Source organism: Homo sapiens, chromosome 7 (genome assembly GCF_000001405.40).
Source record: "Homo sapiens chromosome 7, GRCh38.p14 Primary Assembly".
NCBI lineage: Eukaryota > Metazoa > Chordata > Mammalia > Primates > Hominidae > Homo > Homo sapiens.
In genome coordinates this window covers 43,932,270-43,959,547 of record NC_000007.14, presented here as the reverse complement: position 1 = coordinate 43,959,547, position 27,278 = coordinate 43,932,270, and the positions used below count along the sequence as shown (strand labels likewise).

At 44.9% G+C, this 27,278-nt stretch overlaps 1 protein-coding gene and 1 pseudogene across 8 annotated transcripts in view, besides 2 other annotated features; one reads left to right on the top strand and one right to left on the bottom strand.

The window, feature by feature from the left end:
- POLR2J4 (RNA polymerase II subunit J4 (pseudogene)) overlaps window positions 1–18,653 on the top strand; it is a 78,300-nt pseudogene extending 59,647 nt beyond the window's left edge. Inside the window, exons 14-16 of the transcript NR_003655.3 lie at window positions 6,352–7,027; window positions 13,224–13,414; window positions 14,600–18,653. The product of NR_003655.3 is annotated as an RNA polymerase II subunit J4 (pseudogene) (transcript). The remainder of the gene's footprint in view (window positions 1–6,351; window positions 7,028–13,223; window positions 13,415–14,599) is intronic.
- Window positions 3,412–27,278, bottom strand: part of UBE2D4 (ubiquitin conjugating enzyme E2 D4) — a 29,701-nt gene continuing 5,834 nt past the window's right edge. For 2 of the 7 annotated variants that reach the window (NM_015983.4, XM_024446795.2), the window contains 6 exons: window positions 21,054–21,117; window positions 16,691–16,722; window positions 16,517–16,594; window positions 10,811–10,916; window positions 8,856–8,949; window positions 3,412–6,898 (listed from right to left, as the gene is read on the bottom strand). In NM_015983.4, the coding sequence (NP_057067.1) occupies window positions 6,853–6,898; window positions 8,856–8,949; window positions 10,811–10,916; window positions 16,517–16,594; window positions 16,691–16,722; window positions 21,054–21,117 (420 nt within the window). In that variant the 3' untranslated portion in view covers window positions 3,412–6,852. The remainder of the gene's footprint in view (window positions 6,899–8,855; window positions 8,950–10,810; window positions 10,917–16,516; window positions 16,595–16,690; window positions 16,723–21,053; window positions 21,118–27,278) is intronic. The other 5 variants (XM_006715734.4, XM_047420461.1, XM_047420462.1 and 2 more) reach the window with 5 other exon arrangements.
- Window positions 4,750–4,799: a silencer, noted in NCBI's record as "silent region_18135". NCBI's record gives its function as "represses an Ori minimal core promoter by ATAC-STARR-seq in GM12878 lymphoblastoid cells {active_cell/tissue: GM12878}" and the evidence as "EXISTENCE:reporter gene assay evidence [ECO:0000049][PMID:35858748]".
- Window positions 4,840–4,909: a silencer, noted in NCBI's record as "silent region_18134". NCBI's record gives its function as "represses an Ori minimal core promoter by ATAC-STARR-seq in GM12878 lymphoblastoid cells {active_cell/tissue: GM12878}" and the evidence as "EXISTENCE:reporter gene assay evidence [ECO:0000049][PMID:35858748]".

The following is a 27,278-nucleotide window of genomic DNA, read 5'->3' as shown; positions in this document are numbered from 1 at the left end:
CAGCTAAATGGGAGACTAGAGTTTTATTATTACTCAAATCAGCCTCCCCGAAAATTTGGAGGCTAAGATTTTTAAAGAATAGTTTGGCAGGCAGGGGGCTAGGGAATGGGTGCTGCTAATTGGTTTGGGGTGCAGTCATAGGGCTGTGGAAAATGGTCTTCATGTGCTGTCTGCTTCTGGGTGGGGCCACAGGAGTCTAACTGGGGCCATCCAGTTATCAGAGATGCAAAAGCCTGAAAAGACATCTCAAAAGGCCAATCTTAGGTTCCACAATAGTGATGTTATTTACAGGAGTTATTGGGGGAAGTTGTAAATCTTGTGACCTTTGGAATAATGGCAGTAATCATTTAACTACAAATTCAGGCCCCTCTCATCCTTCTAACCTGGTGGCCTTTCATTAGTGTTACAGAGGCAGTTTAGGTTTGTGTGTTTTTTTTGTTTTTTGTTTTTTTGAGATGGAGTTTTGCTCTGGTTGCCCAGGCTGGAGTGCAATGGCACAATCTTGGCTCACTGCAGCCTCCGCCTTCTGGGTTCAAGTGATTCTCCTGCCTCAGCCTCCTGAGTAGCTGGGATTACAGGCATGCGCCACCACACCTGGCTAATTTTGTATTTTTAGTAGAGATGGGGTTTCTCTATGTTGATCAGCTGGTCTCGAACTCCTGAACTCGTGATCCGCCTGCCTCGACCTTCCAAAGTGCTGGGATTACAGGCGTGAGCCACCGCGCCCGGCACTAATTTTTTTTTTTTTTTTTTTTTTGAGACAGAGTCTCATTCTGTCACCCAGGCTGGAGTGCAGTGGCACAATTTTGGCTCTGCCCCCCCAGGTTCAAGCGATTCTCCTACCTCAGCCTCCCGAGTAGCTGGGATTACAGGCGCACGCCACCACACCCAGCTAATTTTTGTATCTTTTTCGTTTTTTTGTTTTTTGTTTTTTTTTTGAGCCAGAGTCTTGCTCTGTTGCCCAGGCTGGAGTGCAGCGGTGCAATCTTGGCTCACTGCAACCTCCGCCTCCCAGATTCAAGAGAGTCTCCTGCCTCAGCCTCCCGAGTAGCTAGGACTACAGGCACACACCACCACACCCAGCTAATTTTTTGTATTTTTAGTAGAGATGGGGTTTCAGTGTGTTGCCCAGGCTGGTGTCGAACACCTGAGCTCAGGTGATCCGCCCACCGTGGCCTCCCAAAGTGGTGGGATGACAGGTGTGAGCCACCATGCCTGGCCCGTTAATTTTTGTATTTTTAGTAGAGATGGGGGTGTTGCTATGTTGGCCAGGCTGGTCTTGAACTCATGACCTCAAGTGATCTGCCCTCCTTGGCCTCCTGAAGTGCTGGGATTACAGGTGTGAGCCACCTCACTCAGCCTCTTCTTAATTTCTTCACTGTCCCCTTGATCTTTCAGGATGGTGTTGTTTAATTTTCATGTATTTGTACAGTTTCCAGAGTTCCTTGTGTTACTTACTTCTAGTGCTTTTTGTTTTTTTAATTTAGAAAGAACAGAAATTTGTTTCTCACAGTTCTGGAGGCTGCAACATACTGCTTTTTATTCCATTGTGGTCTAATAAGATACTTGATAGGATTTTGATTCTTAAATATTTGTTGAGATTTATTTTGTGGCCTAACATATGGGCTATCCTGGAGAATGTTCCATGTGCTGATGAGAATATGTATTCTGCAGCTGTTGAATGAAATAGTCTGTAAATGTCTCTTAGATTCATTGGTCTATAGCGTATTTTAAGTCTCATGCCTCTATGTTGATTTTCTAGACCATAATCTGTCCAATGCTGAAAGTAGGTGCTGAAGTCCCCAACTTATTGTACTGGGGTCTATCTCTCTCTTTATCTCTAGTAATATTTATTTTATATATCTGGGTGCTCCAGTGTTGAGTGCATATATATTTACAATTGTTATATCCTCTAGCTGAATTGATCCCTTTATCATTATATAATGACCTTTTCTCTTTTTGTTTTTTGACTGACTTAAAGTCTATTTTGTCTGATATAAGTATAGCTAGTCCTGCATGCTTTTAGTTTACATTTGAGTGGAATATCTTTTTTCATCCCATCACTTAGTCTGTATGCATCTTTTTAGTGAGTTCCTTATAGGCAGCATATAGCTGGATCTTGTTTTTGTTAAATTCATTTTACAAAATTTATTTTAGAGACAAGGTCTTGTTTTGTCACACAGGTTGTAGTGCAGTGGCAATCATAACTCAGCTGCAGCCTTCAACTCCTGAACTCAAACAACCCTCATGTCTTAGCCTCCCGAGTAGCTGGGACTACAGGCACATGCCACGAGGCCCAGCTTTTTTTTTTTTTTTTTAGAGCTAGTGGTCTTGCTCTGTTGCCCAGGCTGGTATTGAACTCAAGCGACATCCTCCTGCCTCAGCTTCCCAAAGCATGGGGATTACAGTTGTGAGTCACCATGCCTCGCCTGGATCTTGTTTTTCTAACCCACTCAGCAAGGGTATTATGTGTGTGTATATATATATTTTTTTAATTGTATTTTTTTGGAGATAGAGTCTCACTCTGTCACCCAAGCTGGAGTGCAGTGGCATGATCTTGGCTCACTGCAACCTCCACCTCCCGGGTTCAAGTGATTCTCCTGCCTCAGCCTCCTGAGTAGCTGAGATTACAGGCATGTGGCACCATGCCCGGCTAAACAAGGCTATATATTTTAATTGGGAAGTTTGAACTCTTTACATTCAAGGTTGTTATTGATGAGTGAGGACTTATTCCTGTCATTTTGTTAATTGGTTTCTGATGTTTTATATGTCCTTTGTTACTTTCTTCCTCTTGAAAAATTTTTTTCCTTTCCTTTTTTTAATAAGAGACAGGGTCTCACTATGTTGCCTTGGCTGGTCTCAAACTCTTGACCTTAGGCAGTTCTCCCACCTCAGCCTTCCAAAGGGCTGGGATTACAGGGATGAGCCACCATGCCTGATCCCTTTCTTATCTTTTGCGATTTGGTGGTTTTCTGTGATGATAATGCTTGATTTGTTTCTCATTCGTGTATCTAGTCTATCAGTGACTTTTATACTTTCACATGGTTTCTGTCTATAATTCCCTTTTCCTCCTACCATATCTTGCATACCGTAAGTGCTAATCAATGCTCTGATGCCACTTAACATAACTGGAAAGTGACTGTGATGATTGGCTAGCAGCAAGTCTTTCTCAGAAGACCAGCCTTTTGAGCCATTGTGGGTGGGCTGGGGGACAGCAGGGTTGAAAGACCGGCTATAAGTGGCAGCTCTGCTGTTGCCCTCCAACGTGGAGCCCAGCTGCGCACCTGCCTTCAAGGGGAGCTCTGATGCAGGCAGCTGGATGCCTGCAAGCACACCTGTCTGGGGCAAGGGAGAAGATAAGAAGGACAGGAAGGAAGTAGATGTATTTTTAAGGAAATCATTGACTTCTGATAGGGTGTTTTGCAGATTTTTTATAGCTTTTGTTTTTGTTTTTTTTTAGAAAGTTTCTCTGTCATCAGGCAAAGACCAGGGTGGGAACAGGAAAACTAGAAAACTGGTCAAGGGAGAACAAGTCCCTTTTCCTCTCACCAGTGAACAGCAGGTGAGGAAACAGACTCTGGGAGGAACGCTGTTCAGGATGGCTTGCTGCCTGCATGGCATGAGGCTGCTGTCTTGTGGGTGCTGGCAGCCACAATCTCCATTTTTCTGAAGACCACCATTTATGGCTAGATCCAGTAGAGGTCCAGAACTTTCCCAACACTGCTGGAGAGGAAGTGTTTCACAGTCAGAGGAGAGAGCCATGGGGAATGGAAGCAGGGGAAGAAGGGGTGGGGAGGGGAGGAGAGATGAGTGGCTCTATGCTAATCTTAGGGTTCCTTCTCTGCCCTTTTGGGTACCAGAGACAGACCCTAGGAAAGGAATTCTGCAGACAGTCTTGGAAGCACCTTCTCTGGCACTTAAGGCTTTTTCCCGAATTTCAGAGACAGAAACATACCCATCCTTGAGCAACTGCAGTGAGGCAGTGTGGAATTCTAGGGTGTTGATAGCTGTGAGCTACCAGGCCTGTTGGACATTTGCATTCTGGCATTTTAATTCCTTGTCCTAAGATTTTGACTCTTTGCCATGTTCTTGGAACTCCTGGATCTTTCTGGAGTCTGATAGCGGATCAAAATCTCAGCTCCATTCAGCAAACACAGACGCTTCTGGGGGAGAGCTAATGGTCATTTTTTCATCATGGATCAATTGTTCAAGATCAAGCACCTTTCTGATCACTCTTGTCCACAGAGAAAAAAACACATTACTCCACAGTTGGCTTCTCAGATTTGATGTCTAGTTGTCAACCTGAGACCTTCCTTGGAAGCATGGCTTCTGCACAAGTGGGTTACATTGACTGTACCACAGTGGCTCTTAAAACAAGGTTTTTGACCTAAGGAGCCTGTTCTCCAGGCTGACCTGAACCCCTCAAAGACATGGCAAGCAGGTGACATTTCTGCCCAGGGGATTTGCTGAGAGATCTGGAAGGTACAAAGCCACCTTAGGCTTCAATGGGTGAGTGAATTTTTACCACAAACCCCAAAGGGCTGATTTGACTTTCTCTATTATGTATATCCAACAGAGAGAGCAGGCTTGGGGAAATTTTGTCTGGACTCAGAAAATTCATCAGTTTCTTGGGAATCATCAGCTACTACACTTGAAAGACCAGAGTATGGTTATTCCCCAACACCAAGTTGGGCCTTAATTTTCCCATCTGACCTGTCTCTAACATGTGAATCAGTCCCACCTTCCCTGACCACATGAGTGAAGTGTTTCTGTGATGCTTGGCTGTAGATGCAGTGTGACAACTGCCTGAAGCACATGATCTCAGGCACCAGATGGCACTGCTGCTCAGTAGAGCCATATGCTAACAGCCTTCCTAGAGGACACTGGTAACAGCATTCTCCCCAACTATTAAGCTTTATTGTTTTGTTTAAGCAAAGACCAAAGAAGCAACGAAGATACAAGAATTAAAACAGCAATCCTTGCTGGGCACGGGGGCTCACGCCTGTAATCCCAGCACTTTGGGAGGCCAATGTGGGCGGGTCACTTGAGGCCAGGAGTTCAAGAACAGCCTGGCCAACATGGTGAAACACCGTCTCCACTAAAAATACAAAAATTAGCCCAGCATGGTGGCACATGCCTGTAATTCCGGCTACTTGGGAGGCTGAGGCAGGAGAATTGCTTGAACCTGGGAGGCAGAGGTTGCAGTGAGCCAAGATCGCACCACTGCACTCCAGCCTGGGAGACAGAGCAAGGCTCTGTGTTAAAAAAAAAAAAAAAAAAAAAAAAAAAAGGCAATCCTCAACATGGTGAGATGCAGCCACACCCAAAGAACCCCAAAAGGGGCCTTATGGTAGCAGGAGGATCCTAAATGTGGACCCTCACAAAGGGAATGCAGCCCAAGTTAAAAGTGCTTCTTCCTTTGTTAAGGAAGTGATTATGTGAATAACCTCAGTATTCTCAGTGGGAAAATATCTGGCAATAAATTTGTAGCCACAACTTGGAAGTTTCTGGAAGAAATCAACCTCCCACAGCCACCTTTGGCTGACTGCTTATGTTAGGTCTGTAGACTTCCTTTCAATCAGCCGGCAAAAGCCCCATCTGGCCACTTGGTCACAGTTTTACTGCTTCTTCACCTTTTGTTCCTATTCACCTACACATCACTTCCTGGAAGTGGACCAGCTTTATAACCAACCTAGAAAGATCAGGTTGAATTTGGCTTTAGAGATCTGAAGCTCCTCAATTTTCTTCCCTCTGTGGAAGTTTTATTAGAATAATCTCTTCCCTTTGTTGTCCTCTTCCTAACTAACCTAATCTCAAGGCTCAAAGCTTTAAAGGCAAATCTTAAAATGTGCTGCATCAGAAAGCCAAGGCAGAAAGCCGATCACCTAACAGGCTATTGTAATTTAAGGCTTCAAATAACTGTTAATAGTGTGTATCTTCTGTTTTGCCTAAAAGAAAGAGGCTGAAATGTCAATTATCATTTAGAGTTGTGAGTGAATTGCATTTTTATTTACGTTTAAGAGTCTCTCTCCCTCCTTGTGTTCTAGTCTGTGAATGGCTCACACTTGGACTTAGTGTAGGCTCCTATGGGAGGAGCGGGCGGTAGTGAGAATCTTCATCAAATGGAGTAACATGACCCAAATCTCTAGAGGTTTCATAATTTTGCTCTTGCTTCTAAAAACATAATCATCTCTTATGGGGTGTTATGTGCTTTGTATCCTGAAATTTTCCACTTGCTGCTTCTTGGTGTGAGGCGAGAAATGCCACCACGTGGCACTGCAGGAGGAGACTGGTGGAAGCCACAGGGCTAGGCCTTCACTTCCCAGTGACACTGTTCCCAATTCCCTCCAGGATAAGCTGAGACTCCTCAGGATGTGGTTCTGCAGCAGATGAGGTGCGAACAAAGCCTGCTCTGCCCTGGGCACCCAGGATGGCACTGAGTTCTAAAAGGCAAAGGGTATGTGGTGAGGGGCCAGGCTGAGGCCCTGGTGTGGTACCATCATGGGCAGCAGCACCATTTGAGGCCGGGTAGGAGAGACGTGCAGGGCCTGGCCCCCCAAGAGACCAGCAGACAAACTGAGGCGGCAGAGAGAGAGATTCCAGTGTCACCAGGAAGACTGCAGATCATAACAACAATGGTTGCTGATTTGGCATCAAAGAGGTGGCACTGTCAAAGCCGTAATTGCTGAAAATGGCACCAACATGCTGCAGCTGGAGAGAGTGGGTGACCAACATTTGTTTGAAGAACAGATGATGCTCTTTGAATGGCTCAGCCAACAGCCCAAAGTTTTAAGGGAAGACCTCTCTGCCAGCTTCTCTTGGACAGTGTCTCATGTAAAACCTCCAAGGCACTTACATAGCATATTTTTGTGTCCACTCTCTTGCTAGTCTGTTGTACCTGGAATAAAAAAGCAGAGGAAGTGACACCCTCACTTGAAATGGTCACTTCCCTTCAATGTGCTGCAGAGAACAGGACTGATGTGGGGAATGCTGCTGCTGCTGCTTGTCAAACATCTACGGCTGATGGGTGAGTGGAATAAAGGCTTTCCCTGGAGCAGGAGCACATCAGACATGGCTGTAAACCCCCAGCTGGGTGAACCCCTCATGTGTAAACCCCAAACTGTTGATTCTCCATAACTATCTGCTGTGGAAGATTTAATAATGCAACAGACTTCCTCCCTTTCTTTCTCCTGTCCTACAATATGGATGCAGGGAGGACAGAGAAGAGACACACAAAGGTCAGTTTGTACTAGTTACAGGCCGTCCAGCACACAAACTCCAGAACAAGGGCTTGGGAATCTGCCTACCGGGGTGTGCATCAGTACAGTCCTCAGCAGCTGTTCCGCCCCTCTGTGTCCTGGCTTTTTTGATTGCTTGCCATGGGGAAAGTATCTGCCTTGTGTGCTTGTGGGGAAACTAGAGAAGTCTGTATGTAAAGCACATGGAGCAGGCCAGGCATCCATTGAAGACTATGCAGGTGTGTGCACTTACTCTCATCATTGTAATGACACTTGATGCTATGAGACTATAAATTAGAGAGATTTATAGTTACAAGAGGCACTGAAAAAAAATCACTTTTGGTATGTCTAAAATATCTTGTAAAAAGTGTTAAAATAAACAAACCCAGTCAATTAAAAATTTTGACTGTTATTGAGAAAACTCCAATGAGGGAAATAATAAGATCTATAAAGGTCTTAAGAAAAATATAATTTGAAAAAAACATGTGGCTGAGTGTGGTGGCTCACGCCTATAATCCCAGCACTTTGGGTGGCCTAGGTGGGCAGATTGCTCGAGTCCAGGAGTTTAAGACCAGCCTGGGCAACATGGCAAAACCCTGTCTCTACAAAAAATTAGCCAGGTGTGGTGGGACACGCCTGTAGTCCCAGCTACTCAGGAGGCTGAGGCAGGAGGATAGGTTGAGCCTGGAAGATCGAGGCTGCAGTAAGCTGTGATCACACCACTGCACTTCAGACTGGGCAACAGAATGAGACCTTGTCTCAAAAAAAAAAGGGAAAAACATACTCTATTCTAATCTCTTCAGACAGAAAAGAAGTAATGAGTAATGAACTGAAGAATGCACTCACTGAAGATGTCTTTTAAAAGGGCTAGCAATACCTTCCCTGAAGGTCCACAACTGAGATTCACACCACTCACTGGACTGCGGCCCCTGCCACACCTGGGCCTCTTTCACAGTGCTGTCAGCACTGAGAGACTAACACTTGGCGATGACTCCTTGTGCCTGCCCCACCAACTACAGACACCCTCATGCTACAGTGCATGTGGTTGTGCCTGGCCTAGGGGGTCGGAATTTTACAATTCTGGGTCTGTTAATTGGTGTTTAAACAGAGAGCTGGCAATGAAGGTCTAACACACTGCTGACTTCTGAGCTGAGCCAGCGAACTGACCACAGCAGTGTTTCCCACCTTGACTGCCCTCAGCCTCACCTTCGGTATAGCCAAGCAGACATCCCCTTGTCTTAGGCTATAAACCCTAGAATTTAAATCAGAATTTTTCTTGTTGTCAGATTCTTCTGAGTCTGTTCTTGGCTGACCACTGATTTTGCTGGTCTTGAGGGCAGGGCTTGGCAATGTTTTCATATACAGTAGCAGCAGCTAATGAGTTATCCAGGAGGGGAACTGCTTTTATCTCCTTTTCCCTCCTTAGACTCAAAGGACATGTTAGTGAGAGAGCCAGGAGTCCAAGCCCAGGGCACACCCTCTGTGCACATGGCTCAGCATGGGCAGGAAGATGTCTGTGGGAACCTGCAGCCTAGAAGCACCAGCTCAGAGCACAGGTACTGCATGGAGCTGCCTGGGGCAGCCATGGTGCAAAGGCAACCCAAAGAGGACACGTACTTCTCTCTGTCGGCCTTGTAGGTGTGTGCTATCTCTGGCACCAGGGGGTCATCGGGGTTGGGGTCGCAGAGCAGCGAGCAGATGGACAAGAGAACTGGGAAGAAAAGAAAAGGTTGGTCAGCTGTAGCCACGAAGCTGCTGGGTCACCCCTGGGTAAACTTCCCTGAACTTGCACTCTGTATTTTGACCAAGCAGTTGTCTTCCCTTCAACAGCCCAATCTAAATTGCTTGATGCACCACTTGCCCCGTCCCATGTATCAGCCGAGGTGGTCCTCACTGTGTGGCCTGAGGCATGCTGTGCTAGGATACTTCCCTCCTGGGTGCATCCTGGTTCTCATTCCCCTTCTCCACTGAAGCACCCCATCTTAGTCTCCAACTGCCCTCCCATCCTTGTCTGTACCCTACATCATGAACCTCTGGCATTTAGTCCTAGGAGTCCTGTTTACTGTTAAGGAAACAAGAATTCAGAGCATTCAAGTAACTTGTCCAAGGTCACAGACTTGGAACACCCAATAAATGGATTAAAATGAGATTCTGGACCAGGTGCGGTGGCTCTTGCCTGTAATCCCAGCACTTTGGGAGGCCGAGGCAGGCAGATCACCTGAGGTCGGGAGTTCAAGACCAGCCTGACCAACATGGAGAAACCCTGTCTCTACTAAAAAAATACAAAATTAGCCAGGCATAGTGGTGCATGCTTGTAATCCCAGCTACTCAGGAGGCTGAGGCAGGAGAATCTCTTGAACCTGGGAGGTGGAGGTTGCAGTGAGCCGAGATCGCGCCATTGCACTCCACCCTGGGCAACAAGAGCAAAACTCGATCTCAAAAAAAAAATAAAGAAATTCTGAACCAGGTCCTTCTAACTGCAAAGCAGATGCATCCTCCTCTGTGCCAGCACCGTCTCTAAGATGTGCACTCAATGTGGCTCTCAGCAACCCTAGGGGAAGGGAATCACCCACTAGGGCTGTGGTGAGGAGCAGAAGGAATTGTGGTGCCTGGATTCTTGGGGTCCCAGAGAGAAATGCACACTTTCATTCCTGGCTTTGCTTTCGACTCACCATATGATTCCAAACAAACTGGATTCAGTGAGTCCATCAAAGTTCTGACCACAGGTCCCCACACATAAAGCTACAAATGACAGGGGCAGGTTTGCCTTTCTTAAGATACTTGGCTGGGCACAGTGGCTCACGCCTATAATCCCAGTGCTTTGGGAGGCCACAATGGGAGGACTGCTTGAGGCCAGGAGTTTGAGAATGGCCTGGGCAACAAAGTGAGACCCTGTCTCCTCTACAGAAAAATTTAAAATTTAGGCCAGGCTCTGTTTCTCTTGGGTTGATTTTTCACCATCCTCCCACGCTCCACCTGCCAGGATACTGCACCATCTACATTCAGGTCTCTCGTGCATACATAGCCCATGCACAGCCCATCTTAATTCAGAAGGAATATCTGCATTTCTAAGCTCAGTTTAGACTGGTTTCTTCAACTTCAACCAAAGACATGTGCTCAACATCATTTATTTTGGGAAGGGAGGATTTCTCCACCAACTTCGAGGCCCCCGGAGGCATGCCCTGTATCTTCCTTCAGGGCTGACTCACAGTCCGTTTTGTGCTTATTAGATGAATAAATGAGGGAACAGAGAAGGTAATGTAATATTTGCCTTTCTTATTTTTGGATAAAAAAATATAAGTAGAATCAGTATTTTCTTCTTGCACCCATGTGACAGTCTTGAGCACACCAGGGCAATTGACTGCTGAGAAGCGCCAGGGAGCGGGGCACAAAGTTCTGCTGGTGCTGCCTCGTAGGCGTGTAAGGATATCCACTTAAGGGCACAGCAGTGGACAGGGCTATGTGACCTGGGAAAGGTGACTTCTTTCTCTGAGCTTCCATTTCCACTCAGTCAGTGCTGGGGTAAAAACATGTGTAAAAGAGCACACAGAGCATGCCATCAGCATCTCTACCTTTTGACACAGTCAACGCTGGAGACCACTGAGACCGCAGGATATCAAGGCAGATGCTGCCATTGCTGTTGATATTAGGGTGATAAATTTTGGTTGTGAAAGCAACCTGCAAAGACAAGAGATCCCCAATCAGACAAACCACAGGGACGTGTGGGAAATGAACCAAGTAAAGCAGAAGCAGCTGCTGCTGGGCAGTACCTGGAGTGTGCTGCATACCTGGCCCCACAGTGCAGGCTAAGCCAGACCCCCACTCCCAAACTCTAATGGGATATGGGAGTGAGTGATCACCCAGAAGTTCCCTGACCCATTCCCTGCTGGATTCTCATTCTGAACATAGGGGGATTGATACCATCTCCCTGAAAGCAGTATGCTCTGAGGAATAACAAGGGTGGTGGAAAGGACTCAAAAGCCCAGGAAGTTTTATGCAAAAAGCAGTGATGTTTTGTTGATGTATCAGCAGAAAAGCTCAGGCCCAAAGACTTCATGACTAAAACACCAAAAGCAATGGCAACGAAAGCCAAAATAGACAAATGGGATCTAACTAAACTAAAGAGCTTCTGCACAGCAAAAGAAACTATCATCAGAGTGAACAGGCAACCGACAGAATGGGAGAAAAATTTTGCAATCTACCCATCTGACAAAGGGCTAATATCCAGAATCTACAAAGAACTTAAACATATTTGTAAGAAAAAATCAAACAACCCTATCAAAAAGTGGGCAAAGGATATGAACAGACACTTCTCAAAAGAAGACATTTATGCAGCCAACAGACACATAAAAAATGCTCATCATCACTGGTCATCAGAGAAATGCAAATCAAAACCACAATGAGATACTATCTCACAGCAGTTAGAATGGCGATCATTAAAAATCAGGAAACAACAGATGCTGGAGAGGATGTGGAGAAATAGGAATGCTTTTACACTGGTGGTGGGAGTGTAAATTAGTTCAACCATTGTGGAAGACAGTGTGGTGATTCCTCAAGGTATTCCTCTAGTACTAGAAATGCCATTTGATTCAGTAGTGATCCCATTACTGGGTACATACCCAAAGGATTATAAATCATGCTACTATAAAGACACATGCACATGTATGTTTATTGCGGCACTATTCACAATAGCAAAGACTTGGAACCAACCCAAATGTCCATCAATGATACATTGGATTAAGAAAATGTGGCATATATACACCATGGAATACTATGCAGCCATAAAAAAGGATAAGTTCACATCCTTTGCAGAGACATGGATGAAACTGGAAACCATCATTCTCAGCAAACTATCACAAGGACAGAAAACCAAACACTGGGCCAGGCATGGTGGCTCACACCTGTAATCCCAGCACTTTGGGAGGCTGAGACAGGCGGATCACCTGAGGTCAGCAGTTCGAGACCAGCCTCAACATGGAGAAACCCCATCTCTATTAAAAATACAAAATTAGCCGGGCATGGTGGTGCAGGCCTGTAATCCCAGCTACTCGGGAGGCTGAGGCAGGAGAATTGCTTGAACCTGGGAGGTGGATGTTGCGGTGAGCCGAGATCACGCCATTGCACTCCATCCTGGGCAACAAGAGCGAAACTCTGTCTCAAAAAAAAAAAAAGAAAACCAAACACTGCATGTTCTCACTCATAGATGGGAATTGAACAATGAGAACACAGGGACACAGGGCGGGGAACATCACATACCAGGGCCTGTCGGGGGGTGGGGGCTGAGGCAGGGATAGCATTAGGAGAAATACGTAATGTAAATGATGAGTTGATGGGTGCAGCAAACCAACATGGCACATGTATACCTATGTAACAAACCTGCACGTTGTGCACATGTACCCTAGAACTTAAAGTATAATAATAAAAAAAAAAGAAAAAGAGAAGCTCAGGCCGTGGACCCTCTGCCAGGCCACAAACCCTCCCCACCTTTCTACTTCACCCTTTCTAAGACCCCCCCTTCTCAGAATTTAGCCCTAAAATACCCTTGTGCACTTCAAATATGTAAGGATAACCACTGTAACAAAAGATGTAAAACCTAAATGTCTTCAGATTGATTACTGGTTAAATTAATGTTATATATAAGCAACAGAATATTACACCTGTTTAAAAAGAATGAGGTGAATTTTTAAAACATGAATGTGATCATATGGAACAATTTCCAAGATATATTGCTATGGGAAAAGCAAGATGCAGATTCACGGAAAGGTCTGTTCCATTCATGGGAAAAACAAGGAAGCACAAACAAGTGCTTATCCAGGTTGAGATTACTCTTGGAAGAGAAATGAAAAGACAAGTAGGACTCAATGCCTTATGGAAAAAAAAGGCGGGGGGGCCAGGCGTGGCTAGAGAGACAAAGTTTAAAGAAGGTCCTATTTTCTACTGTATACTGTCCTACATTTGACTTTTTTTTTCTTTTTTAAACCACAGCCACACATTACTTCTTCAAATGACCTTGGACCTCAGAGCCTTCACTATAAGTAGGTACATGGTACCTCTCCCAGGGATGTTGTGGGACCCATGAAGAGTCCGCTGTCTGTGATGTGCAAGGTGCTCTGAGTCAGGTGCAGCTTGTACTGCTATAGGAGCCTAAGAATCTGCCTCACCTACACTCCCTCTGGGTGAGCAGTGACCCCAACGCAGGGGCTGGGGCAAAGGAACATAGGATTTTGCCGGCCGGGCACAGTGGTCACACCTGTAATCCCAGCACTTTGGGAGGTTGAGGTGGGTGGATCACAAGGTCAGGAGTTCGAGACCAGCCTGGCCAATATGGTGAAACCTCGTCTCTACTAAAAATACAAAAAAATTAGCCGGGCATGTGGCACATGCCTGTAATCCCAGCTACTTGGGAGGCTGAGGCAGGAGAATTGCTTGAATCCAGGAGGCAGAGGTTGCAGTGAGCCGAGATCACGCCACTGCACTCCAGCCTGGGTGACAGAGCGAGATTCCGTCTCAAAAAAAAAAAAAAAAAAAAAAAAGGGATTTTGCCTCCTCCGCTAGCTTTGAGAACTCACTGGTACTTCTTAGTCTAGATGGAGGATGCACAAACATCCTTTATATCATTATCTACAATTTTTTGCATGTTTGATATAGTTTTTAATAGTTTTTTTTAAACTTACTTTCGAATATGAGAAGAGAGTTGTGTGCATGTGAGCTTGAACATCTGTAATTTTTCCCAGGAAGGGTCAAACTTCAAAATCATCGCAGACATTAAGTATCTGCCTCAATATCTCCAATAAAGATCATGCAATCTTGCCAGATTCCTCCTATTGTCAGAAAATTTGTGCCAAAACATAAATCGTTGCTCCTGTTCCCCTGTGGAAGGAGATTTTTAAAAGACAGAAGCACTTTCTTCTCTCATAGAGTGTCACTGTCACCTTTCAGCTCACATCTCTCCTTGTTAAAATAATCCCAACTCACCCACAGAGCTTACTTCTTAGTTTTTTAATAATAACCACTGTTGGCTGGGCACGGTGGCTCACGCCTGTAATCCCAGCACTTTGAGAGGCCGTGGTGGGCGGATCACCTGAGGTCAGGAGTTTGAGACCAGCCTGCCCAACATGGCAAAACCCCATCTTTACTAAAAATACAAAAAATTAGCCGGCGTGGTGGCGGGTGCCTGTAATCTCAGCTACTTAGGAGGCTGAGGCAGAAGAATCGCTTGAACCCGAGAGGCGGAGGTTGCAGTGAGCTGAGATTGTGCCACTGCACTCCATCCTGGGAGACAAGAGTGAAACCGTGTCTCAAAAATAATAATAATAATTAAAAAATAATAATAATAATCACTGTTTCTCCTTTGTCCTTAGGCAATTAGGTATGCTGAAAATGCCCAACAGACATTCAGGACTACATTGGTATCTGTTTAAGGAAAATCCTCAGCTGCTCACACAGTAATGAAAGAGACAAGCTAGAAAATTACTACTTGATAAGACTCTGCCACAGTCTCTCCAGAGGGGAAGGGAGAAGGGGTGGATCACAGCACCATGAAGCATGCTTATGATTTTTCAACCAAACTCCCTTGAACAGCAGTTGTACTCCAATGTGGTGAAGCTATTTTAGCATCTGTCATTGTCCTGCTCAGCACACTCCACTCCCTTGCTAAAAGCTTAAAAGGTCTCTGGGATCCTAAGCATATTTAACAAAGATTTAAAATGCTCAGGCACCAGGTAGCCTCTGGTGGCGATGTCTGGACAGAGCTGCAGCTGGTGAGCACAGAAGGGGCTTCTTCACATTGACTCAGATAAACAACATGCAAAACAGCAGCTAAGCCTCTGACTCAAATTGAGGCATCAAGGCCAAGTCAAGGTAGTAAGACATAGCAATATCACAACCCCTCAGCTAAGGGGTCTGATGCAGATGCAGGACTTTCGAGTAAGTCTTGACAAAATGCACAACCTGGCCAAGCGTGGTGGCTCACACTTGGAATCCCAGCACTTTGGGAGGCGGAGGTGGGTGGATCACCTAAGGCCAGGAGTTCGAGACCAGCTTGGCCAACATTGTGAAACCCTGTCTCTACTAAAAATAACACAAAAATTAGCCACATGTGGTGGCGAGTGCCTGTAGTCCCAGCTACTCAGGAGGCTGAAGCAGGAGAATCACTTGAACCCCAGCCTTTTCTCCACAAGGCAGCAGAGTGATTGTGTCGGTGTGGCGATCCCCACAACGGCGTGCAGACCCTACTCCTGGGGCCATCCGTACCCCTCTGGCCTCCTTCCCAACTCCTCACAGGCTCACTCCCCTGGGGCAGTTTCCTGGGGACCTGTCCGCCCTCTTGCTGAGCTCCTGCAGTTCCCCTTTCTCAGGGCAATCTCTCCACCACCCTGGCTCCTGCTGCCAACCACTGCTTGTGCTCCTTCCCAGTGCTGAGTAGCTCACATGCTAAATGCCCTGTCTCCTCCACAGGACTATGAGCCTCAGGGCAGGCTCGGCCACCCATGCAGAGCCCAGGTGAGAAGGAGTACGAGGTCCAAGGGTCCAGGGAGTGAGACGACCTGCGGTGCACAAGACATGCTAGGGCAGGGTGGTCGAGGCAGCTCCCTGGGCTTCTCCTTCCCTTTGGTGGCACTGCTCTCTAAAGCTCCACTGATGGGATGGTGTGTGCATGAAGGGCAAAGGAGGCTTGCTATTCTTTTAACTTAATAAAGAAAAGTGAAGGTGTGACTCACCAGTCCTAAACCAGGGTGTGTCCACCTTGGCACTATTGACACTTGGGGCTGATCATTATCTGTCATGGGAAGGGTGGCTCTCCTGTGCACTGCAGGGAATCCCTGGAATACCCTGGCCTTTGCCGACTAGATACCAGTAGTACTCCCTCACCACGGTTTTGATAACCCAAAATATCCTAAGATGTTGCTCAAATGTCCCTGGGGCAGTAGCAAAATCACCCCGGCTGAGAACCCCTGTCCTAACTCTAAGGGACTGCAGAGAAGGGAGCCAGAGCCTGGAGACATGACCAGACTCAGCTACAGTCACAAGGAGAAGCATTCAAACTGTGGCCTCAGTAAGGCCAGCACCAGCTCACCCCACTGACCCTTGATCACAACAGGTGCTAATTCCCAAAGTCCAGTAATTAAAGTCCTGGGAAACTCTCACCACAGGGTGGAGCAGTGGGCCCTCAGAGAAACCCCACGTACAGCTCTTTTTACCTATACCTGACTTGAAGGGCCCCTTGTCACATGCTGTCCTTCATCCAAACATCAGGGGAGTTGGGAGAGGGACCTCACCTTTGGGGGCTTGAACGGGTAATCTGTAGGAAAGTGGATGGTCAGGAAGAAAACACCTCCTTGGTAAGGACTGTCATTCTGGAAGGATGAGACACAGAAAGAGATCAGTGCATGTGCTAAGCCCAAAGTGCAAGAAGCAAAACTGGAGTGGTGCGCTCAGCAGCTACTACCTACCGGGCCCATGATGGTGGCCTGCCAGTGGAACACTACAAAACAAAAGAGAGACGGGCATGTAAGAGACCCCCCAAGAAACATGTCATTCTACTGAAAACGCACTGCTAAATTACAGCGCACTGTCTACACAAGATGCACTCACTTCTGACACCAACTGCAAGACTGGGGTTCCCCAAACCACCCAAGATGCAATAACTGCCTAGGACTCCCAGAGCTCACTGAAAGTGGTTGTGCTTAAGATTGCTGGTTATCACAGGGAAACAACATAGGTTAACATCAGGAGGGTCCAAACGCAGAGTTTCTATTCTTCTCTCTCCGTGGAGTCAGGATGTGTTACTCTCCTGGCATTGCTGTATGGCAACACACACAGAACACCCAATCAGGAATGCTCACTGGAGCCTCCGTATTCAGAATTCTCATTGGAGCTCCACCCTGAGAGCATGACTGACTTATTTGAATGCCCATAGGACTGATCTCAGGCTCCAGTCTCCAGCTCCTCCAGGCATGATCCAAGCCCCCACCTTATTTTATTTTTTAGTTTTTTGAGATGGTCTCACTCTGCCACCCAGGCTGGTGGGCAGTGGCATGATTATAGCTCACTGCAGTCTCAAACTCCTGGGCTCAAGCTATCCTTCTGCCTCAACCTCCTGAGGAGCTGGGACAACAGGTGTGTGCCACCACATCTGGCTAATTTTTTTACTTTTATTTTTTCATTTTTGTAGAGATGGGGTCTTGCTATGTTGCCCGGGCTAGGCTCTCACCTGAAATCACATGGCTGGTCTACTTGGTATGGCCATTCCTCACCCTAAATCACATTGTTGGTGTGCATTAAAGCTTCCAGCCAAACAAAGACATTCCTATCAGGTATGGTATCTTACAGATCGCCCCCTACGTGTTAAGGATGAAGGCCAGATCTTTTGGGGACAAGATTAAATTCTTTTTGTTGTTATTGTTTTGTAGAGATGGGGTTTTACCATGTTGCCCAGGCTGGGCTCAAGAAATCTGCTAGCCTCAGCCTCCCAAAGTGCTGGGATTACAGGCGTGAGACACTGTGCTTAGCCAAGATTAAATTCTTTACTACACAAATGCCAGTAACTACAATTCAGTCAGTTCTTTGCACAGAATTAAGCCTTGGCTAGGCTTCAGCCATTTTCCTTATTGCTCTTTATAAACCCTTCTATTCCTTGGTTCTTCTCCTGATTCATTGTGAAGCCCTCTTCAAAGAGTGTCTCTCAGGAGCCAACTGCCCGTGGCCCTGGAGCCTCAAGGGTGCTGCCTTCATCTGAGTCCTCTCCTGCCCAACCCCTGGGCAGTGCCCTGTGCTCTAGGCACTCAGTAACAAGGTCACGATGAGCCCCTCTCATGCTTCCCTTCCAGGTCACCACCATTTGGTGAGAGTTTAGAGCCCCCTCTTGCTGCACATCACACCCTCTCCAGCATCTCAGGTGACTTTCACTGCTCTACCCATTCCCAGAAAAGCTCCTGTGTATCAGCAAGGCTAGCCCAGTATGGCCCAAACACTCACATTCAAGGCTCCCAAGTCATACAAATGGTCCCAGGGATATTGACTCTAGGGCCTTGGTGGAAAATGCCTACTCACCCACAGGAGTGGGTTGCTGGGATCATCTGAAGGGCCTGTTATTACCAAGAGAATTCTGTCTCATATGGATTCATAGTAGATATGGAATTAGCCCAGAGTTTCAGACCTGGTCCTGTCCTGGGTTTCCTGTCACCTGTTTAAGTACCCCACAGGCTCTACACAACAGGAGGCCTAGGAAAGCACCAAGGTTTGGGGTGGGAGCACAAGTGCAGGGACTAAAGCAGAAGTTTCCCAAGCCCCTAGAGGTGTTCAAAAGTAGTCAAGGTGGCCCATGAGCCCTTTTCAATATTTCAAAGAAATGGTGCTGAAAAGAACACCTTTACCTGTAATAAGCCTGCCTGAGTTAATAAAAATATCACTTTTTTTTGCTTTTGACTGTTTTTATTCCAATTCATGCTAATCGTTAGTTGAAAGTAGACATATTTTGCCTAACATTAATGTGAATGGAATTCTTTATTAAATAAAAGTGTTTTGATAATATATTTCAGAACGGAAGGTTAGAATCCTCTGGTCTTGTTCACTTTAACCCTGAGGGCTGCTGGGACACTAAGCAGTGCTTGAGAGCAGAGTCAGAAGAGAAGGCCCCAAAAGCAAGAGGACGAGAAAGGATATACAGGAGGGATGCTGGAAATGGCTGTGAGCCCATGAGGCGGGTGTGAAATGGCCCCAAAGGCTAGCTTCCAGTGCTGTCTGAACCTCATCCACTGAGGTCTGACTGTGGTGGCTAGCCTTGATGCTAGCCTCTCTTAGCACTGGGCTCTGGTGCAAGGTAAATTTGAGCTGAGCTGAGCATCAAGGAGCTGCCTCTAGACAGGTAAGGCTAAACAAGAACTAGTTCAAGCTTACAGCGACCCCAGTTTAATCTGATATTATCTTAAGTGACAGGTAAGAGGGGAAGCATGCTATGGAGACCTGGGGTGCTTGTGAGGACGACATGAGGTAAACACTGATTAGTGGGGAGCAGAGTGATGAGCAGGTACCAGGAGACAGTGGAGCAGAGTCATTCTTGTTTCTTACACTCTGCATAGGCAGCTGGGAAACATTTCTGCTCTGCTCCAGAAATGAGATTTAAACTCCCACATAAAGCCTTTAGAGTCCTCCATTTTCAGTGGCTCCATCTGCCTACCGCTGGCTCCTCTAAGCTCAGTCCCCTCCCAGGACATGCAGGCACACATATGATGCCATGCCCTCCTTTTTTCCAGCTTTGTGAAATTTCTTTTTATTGTAGTTAAAAATATATAATAAAATATGCAATTTAAACAACTTTAAAGTGTACAATTCTGTGGCATGAAATGCCTTCACAATGCTGTAGAACCATACCCCCATCCATTTCTAAAGCTTTCCATCACCCCCAACAAATTCTGTATCCATGAAACAATATTTCTCCTATTTCCACCCCCCATCAGCCTCAGGTAATCTCTCATCTACCGTCTGTCTCTATGAATTTGCCTAGTCTAGATATTTCATGTAAGTGGAATCATATATTCATTCTTTTCTTTCCGGCTTATTTCACTTGGGATGTTTTCATGTTGTAATGTGTATCAGAACCATATTTTGTTTATCTGTCATCCACTGATGGGCACTTGGGTTGTTACCAGCTTCTGAAAATCATGAGTAATGGTGCCGTGAACATTGGCATACACATTCTGTCTCACTCTGTTTTTGATTCTTTGGTATATGTACCTCTGACACCACTCTCCTTGAACACATAGTATCTCCCCTCCCCACCTATTTTCCTATGGCTGCAGTTACTGAAGCCTCACAGGGAAGGATTGGTGTCCCAGAGCCCAAGAAGCCCACAAAGTGGAGGCAAGGTGAGTGGGCAGAGGACAGACCTGGAAACCCTAGTGCTGGGCAGCTCAGCCTCGGCCAGCACCTGTGAGGGACAGCAGAGGCCTGGAACAGGCAGTGCTGCTTCTCCCTCTCTCTCCCAAGAAGCTGCCCAGAGCTGCTGCTTCAGTCTCCGCCAGGGAAGAGTGGAAGTGGGAGAAAATAATAGGGACTGCCCTTCCCCTTGGCAGAGGCAAGTGGCCACTGCCCTACCCTGCCCTGCCCCTCCTCCACTGTCCTGCTCTGCTCCCAGGAGCTGCAGCAGCACCAGGTCCTCTAGACCAACTCCAACAATATTTACACCAGCACCCAAGTTTGACTTGGCCAAGGGCACTTTCCAGCAGCTGATGTGACTCCTCAGGCCAAGCTGGCTTTCTCATGCGCCAGAAGAGGGAAGCGGTGACTATGGGACATGAGAGGCAGTGCAGGTTCTACTTTGAGTATAAGCTGACCAGCCAAGCTGCTGTGAACTCATGGCCTAGACCTCAAATGAAAAGCCATTCAAGAGAAAATGAAGGGAAAAGCATTGATTGGTTTTCTTAAATACTGCTTGGCTGATAATTTGGTTGTTTGGTTTTGTTTGTGTTTGTTTGTTTTTCAGACAGAGTCTGTTGCCCAGGCTGGAGTGCAGTGGCACGATCTTGGCTCACTGCAACCTCTGCCTCCTGGGTTCAAGCGATTCTCCTGCCTCAGCCTCCCAAGTAGCTGGGATTACAGGCATGTGCCAGCATGCCCGGCTAATTTTTGTACTTTTAGTAGAGACGGGGTTTCGCCATGTTAGCCAGGCTAGTTTCAAACTCCTGACCTCAGGTGATCCACCCACCTTGGCTTCCCAAAGTGTTGGGATTACAGGCGTGAGCCACCGCACCTGGCCTAAGTTGGGGGGTCTTAATTAAAATGCTCCTACAACTTGAAGCCCCCCAAAATACTTACAGTCATCACCGACAGGTCCTGCAGAACACTGGGCAGGAGGATCCCTCTGCAAGTCGGTTAATTCCTAGAACATGAGAGAGTGGGTCAGAGCTGCTGTATGCTGGGGATGCTGCCTCTACATACCAATCTTGGTAGCTGGAAGGAATTCTCCTGGTGGGAGGAGGCTCCTAGGCCTCAGGAGGGGGTTAGAGACATGGTGGGTCATAGGACTCTACTCCCTGCTACAAAGATACCAGAGAAGTAGGTATGATCATTTCCATTTTATACATTAGGAAATTGAATTGTAAAGTGATGAAGTTACCTACTCAAGGTACAGAGCTGGAAGAGGGCAGGGCAAGAAGTCAGTCACATGTAGCTCTGCCTTACCCCCAAGCCTAGCCTCCTACCTCCTCAGGTAGAGGACATCCCCAGGCCCCCAGGTGCTGAAGATATGGAAGAAAAGCAGCCCAGGAGAGAGTTCTGGGAGAAGGATAGGTGCCAGGTTTTACTGCTAGGCTAATGAATTAATGCATGGAAGCAGCACCAAGGAAGTGCTAATCTCTCTACTTTACCTCCCCAACCACCATCCCAATCACCCTAGTCACCACTGGTTATGTGGCAAGTCCTAGGGCTCTGAATGTGGAGACTGGCACGTGAGCCAAAGTTTAACACTGCACCAGTGGGGATCAGGGATTATACCACGACTAGATTCCCTTTATGGGACACCAACCCTGAACTAAGCCAAACACTGTCCTATCTACACAAACTCTCCTGATTTCACCATATGTCTCTGGACATGCTGATCATTTCAGTAACCACATCTCTGGCCATCCTGCATTTATCCCCTTCACTTCAAATTTAATCAGCCAAGATGGAAGTATTAACATCACAGAAGCCAGCAAATGCTACAAATCAGGGCCATGTTTTCTCCCCGAGGGTTGATCTTTAAACATCTACCAGTATACCACTGGCCAATTCTCGATTAGTATCTAATATATCTGAACCCATTTCCTCATAAGTAAAATGAATTATACTTGGCAAGCACTCAGGAAGCAGCATTAGGAGTGGCCAAAAGAGAATTTAACTTGGGGAACAAGTGAGGTCATACAAGGGGACCAAGGACAGGCTCAGAAATGCAAGAGCTACAGAAATCTCTGTGGAACAGTTCCTTTTAGCTTACCTCTCTGCTATGTGCCCCTCAGCACCTCCACTATCACTGTGCAGGAGAATTGTTTATATTCATTGCTACACTGCATGGATAAATTAGCCCTATGACAGAACTGCTAAGGCAAATCCTGAAGAGGTTATATGAACAGCCAGGGGCAGGAAAAGCCAGCAGTACAGACCAATTCCCCTCCACCTCACAAGGTTTTCCCACACCTCTATGCTTTTGCACTGCCTATATGCAGAATCCATGTTCCCCCTTTAGAGGTGTGATGAACAGTTACACCAGCACTTAATGATCCCTGAAAGGCCACGTGTGGATCCCTATTGTTAGACTCCAACCAGCACCCAGGAGTTTCGAATACTAACTGGCATTTCAAGGAAGAATGGTGTGACTTGAAAGAAACTAGTCCACTCACACATCGAATTCCTGTGCTCACCTCAGGGTTAGAAGACTCAGGTCTGAATCCAAGCTCCGTCACTGAGGAAATCACTTTCACCTCTTTGGGCCTCAGTGTAATTACCTGTTAAGTTGTAATCATACTTGCCTGCCAACTTGCCGGTACTATTGTGTGGCTACAAATTTTGCATGTAAGTTTTTAATGTATATAATGTAAGCAAGAGCACCCAGTAAATATCAAGATAATAGTGGTATAGAGAATGCTACAATTAGTATTATAAAAAGGGAGAGGAATAAGTAGAATATATATATTTCTAGAAGAATACTTCGACACTGGTTGCCCACCCAGGAGGGGAACTGGATGGCTAGGGACAGTCTTGGGTGGGAGACTTTTCCCTGTATATCCTGTGCACATTTTGAACCATGGGAATTTATTACCAAATCATTAAATATATAAATATTTTATTAATTGTAAAGGATTAAGTAGATTAAGTTTATATAGTAATTACTATTACAAGTAACAATGATAAAAGTGAGAAGTTCCGAAAAAGAGAAAGTAAGTTAAAGTATTGAATAGTAGTAGAGAAGAGTTAAGCAAACCATGGTACACACTCAGTTATTCCTTTACGGTGTTTCGTCAACTCCAAGACTCCATCCTTTATAAGACACAATTTTACTTTACATACAATTAGGAAAAAAAAAACATGCTGGCAAATAAACTAACACAAATGCTTTCTTTGCACATAAACTTTAATTGTATTTAAAAATTACTTTTATCAGGCTGTGTACAGTGGTTCATGCCGGTAATCCCAGCACTTTGGGAGGCCGAGGTAGGCAGATCGCCTGATGTCAGGAGTTCGAGACCAGTTTGGCCAACATGGTGAAACCCTGTCTCTACTACAAATACAAAACTTAGCTGGGCTTGGTGGCATGTGCCTATAACCAGCTACTCAGGAGGCTGAGGCACAAGAATCGCTTTAGAGGGTGATGCCATGGGCAGGGCAGAGCATCTGGGGTCTTTTGGGAGCCTCCAATCCCCAACAGTTTCGCAGAACACTGATATCTATGGACTCTAAAATGGGCTTCATTTAAAGAAACCCACAGACCATTAATGGACAAAAACATGAATCTATATGTATTGTGACATTCCAGTCCTGGCACTGTGGGAGAGCATCAAGTACCACGTTTTTGAAGACCATGGCCTATCATCATTATGCGTTCAAGATCTGAGTTTGAATAACCTCATCAAGACTTAGATCTTCTTCAAAAGCTTCAAGTCTCATCTGCATTAAAGCTCTCCATTGAACCCTCTCACAAAAGTGCAAACTTAAAGGGACTAAAATCCGTTAACACATTCCATTTTATATCCCTTCTTCTGACTTCTCTTCAATTTCCTTGGCCTCTGGGGCCCTTTATATTGCTTATGTTCCTTTAGGGCCAAAGTGACAGTGCTTTCCAAAAAAAAAAATATGTATTCTGTGGCCATAAGTTTACAGAGAAGCATAAATTTAGCATGATGAATTTAGAATTAGGTCTTTTATGGTATTCTGTAAAAAGTTGAATTAATAATAAGAAAATGAGGATGAAGCAGTAAAAATATTTTGGGTTAGAATATACTCTCCAAAGCTATGTGGTTTAGAGAAAAGGGCCCCCAACCTAAAAGTTAATAGTTCTTATTCTGTCTCTGCCTTTTACTAGGTAACTGAGAAAGTCACTTAACCTCTCTGAACCTTAACTTCATTATCTATAAAGCGTAACTGATATTTTCCCCTCCCTACCTCACAGGGTTGTTGTGAGGAACAAGTGAAACAATGTACATAAAAAGACATATAAAATGTATAATACAGACAAAGGGTCCTGTTACGTAGTTGGAAGTCATTCCCTCAGATCTTGGGCCTAGGAAGATAGGTGATTTAAGCTCACTGAAAGCATGTACCATGTCCAGGCTGAATACATGGTAACAAGGCTATGTTACATTTTTTTTTTCCCTGAGTTGAGTACCTAAAATACCACATGGGCTAATTCTAAGAAGGAGCACCACTATATATTTCCCTAAAATTATAGCTTAGCATTGTTAATGCTCTAGAGCAGTTATGCATTGTAACATATTAGTGATTTGTGAAAGATTTTTACTAAAACGTGACCAGCATTTTTCTTTAAATGAAAGAATGTAGAATATTTCACAATGCATCCCATGTGATGAGAAAAAATATTTTTTTTAGTTATATGTACATATGCATGTGTGTGAATGTGTGTGTGTACTTGGTCATTAAATAAAATGTACTTTTTCTTCTTGTGGGAAAAAAAAAAAAGAATTGCTTTAGCCCGGGAGGTGGAGGTTGCAGTGAGCCAAGACTGCGCCTGTGTGACAGAGTGAGATTCTGTTTCAAAAAATTAAAAAATTAAAATTACTTTTATCAAAAGAATTATTTTAGGCTTAAACATAGCTTTGTGTGTTTCTTGTTAAGTATCATTCATGAATACAAAAAAAAAAAAAAGGAAAAACAAGTGAAATAAATAAACTGGTTTGTTCAGGTATTCCTAAAGTTTCTTCCCATTCAGAGCCCAACACTGAGTCATTGATGTCTACACAATATCATCCTCTGTGTCTTCCAAAACAATGGTAATGTGGCAATTCTTAGAGTCCTCTACTACTCTTCCTGGAGTTTTCTTTCAAGCCATGAATACTTATTCTGCAAAGGCCCATGATACACAATCTATTTGCACGTATTCCAGAAAAAAAAAAATGACCCAGTCTCACCAACTTGAGGGTAGGTGGTACCTTCCTTTCTGTGGCTATGAAGAATTTGGTTGCTTGACATGGAATTAGGAAATTCCAGTCCTTCCTCCAACAACAAATATTTGCTCCCTTATTATGAAATTTACTCGTCGTTGTCCTGTTTCTGTGCCTGTGTTCACAAAAGCTTTTCTTTTCAGTGCTAAATCACACTATCTTTTTGAAAATATTTTTAAAACAATTAAACTCAACAAATATAGTACCAGCAATGCACTTACCTCATAATGAACTGCCATGATGGTTTACTCATACAGATAGTGACATCTAAGTGAAGGTAACCTGGCTGACAGCTATTGTAAGAAGCATCCCAATTTCAGAGACGTGAACATTTGAAAAAATATTCATCTTGAAGTAGATGAATATGGTATTATCTTATTTCCAAGTTCTCTTTATTTTTTATTTTTATTTTTAGAGACAGGGTCTCACTGTGTTGCCCAGACTGGAGTACACTGGCACCATCTCGGCTCACTGCAACCTCTGCCTACTGGGTTCAAGCAATTCTGGTGTCTCACCCTCCAGAGTAGCTGGGACTGATTACAGGAACGCACCACCATGCCCAGCTAATTTTTGTATTTGTAGTAGAGATGAGTTTCACCATGTTGGCCAGGCTGGTCTCAAACTCCTGACCTCAAGCGATCCTCCTGCCTCAGCCTCCCAAAGTGCTGGGATTACAGGCCTGAGCCACCACGCCCAGCCCCAAGTTTCTTTAAAGAACAATTACTACCTTTATAATCAGAAGTTAACTAAACTTTTTTTTGAGAAACTAAACCAAGTATTATGCAGCCACTGAAAATTAGTTTTTAAAGACTACAGAATAACAGGAGAAAATGTCATGATACAACATTAGAGGAAAAGGGCAAGAAAAAAGCAGAGTATAAAATTTGATGCACTACATGACAACAATCTGAAACACATACACATCAAAGGCACTGAAAAGAAATCCACAAAAATGTTAACTACAATTACATGAATAGGTAGAATATATATATATATACACCCACACATATATATGTACGTATATGTATATACACACATATAAGTATATATGTTATATATATACACACATACATATGTGTATATATATGTGTGTATATATGTTATATATATACACACATACATATGTGTATATATATGTGTGTGTATATATATATATATATATATATATATATACTTTAACATTTGTTGCCCCCAGGAGGGGAACTGGATGGCACACATTCCAGCAAGAAAAAGTGACCCCACTTTAGATGACTAGAGATGAGTTTTTTAAAAACTGAATTTTGGGGGCATTTTCCAAATTTTCTTTAATTTTCTTTTTTTCTATTATTATTTTTTTATTATGTATTTTATTTTTATTATTTTTTTGAGACAGGATTTCGCTCTGTCACCCAGGTTGGAGTGCCGTGGCGCCATCTTGGTTCACTGCAACCTCCATCTCCTGGGTTCAAGCGATTCTTATGCCTCAGCCTCCCGAGTAGCTGAGATTACAGGCACCTACTAATATGCCCGGCTAATGTTTGTATATTTAGGAGAGACAGGGTTTTGCCATGTTGGCCAGGCTTGTCTCAAACTCCTGGCCTCAAGTGATCCATCCACCTCGGCCTCCCAAAGTGCTGAGATTACAGGCGTGAGCCACCCTGCTTAGCCAGGTATTTTCCAAATTTTCTTTAAAGTACATGTATTGCAAAATATATGTGTTAAATATGTATTGATATAGTTTGGATCTGTGTTCCCACACAAAACTCTTGTCAAATTGTAATCTCCAACGTTGAGGGTGGGGCCTGGTGGGAAGTGATTGGTTTAGTACAATCCACTTGGTATTATCCTCTTCTCACAAGATCTGGTTGTTTCAAAGTATGTCATGGGCCAGGCACAGTGGCTCACTTTG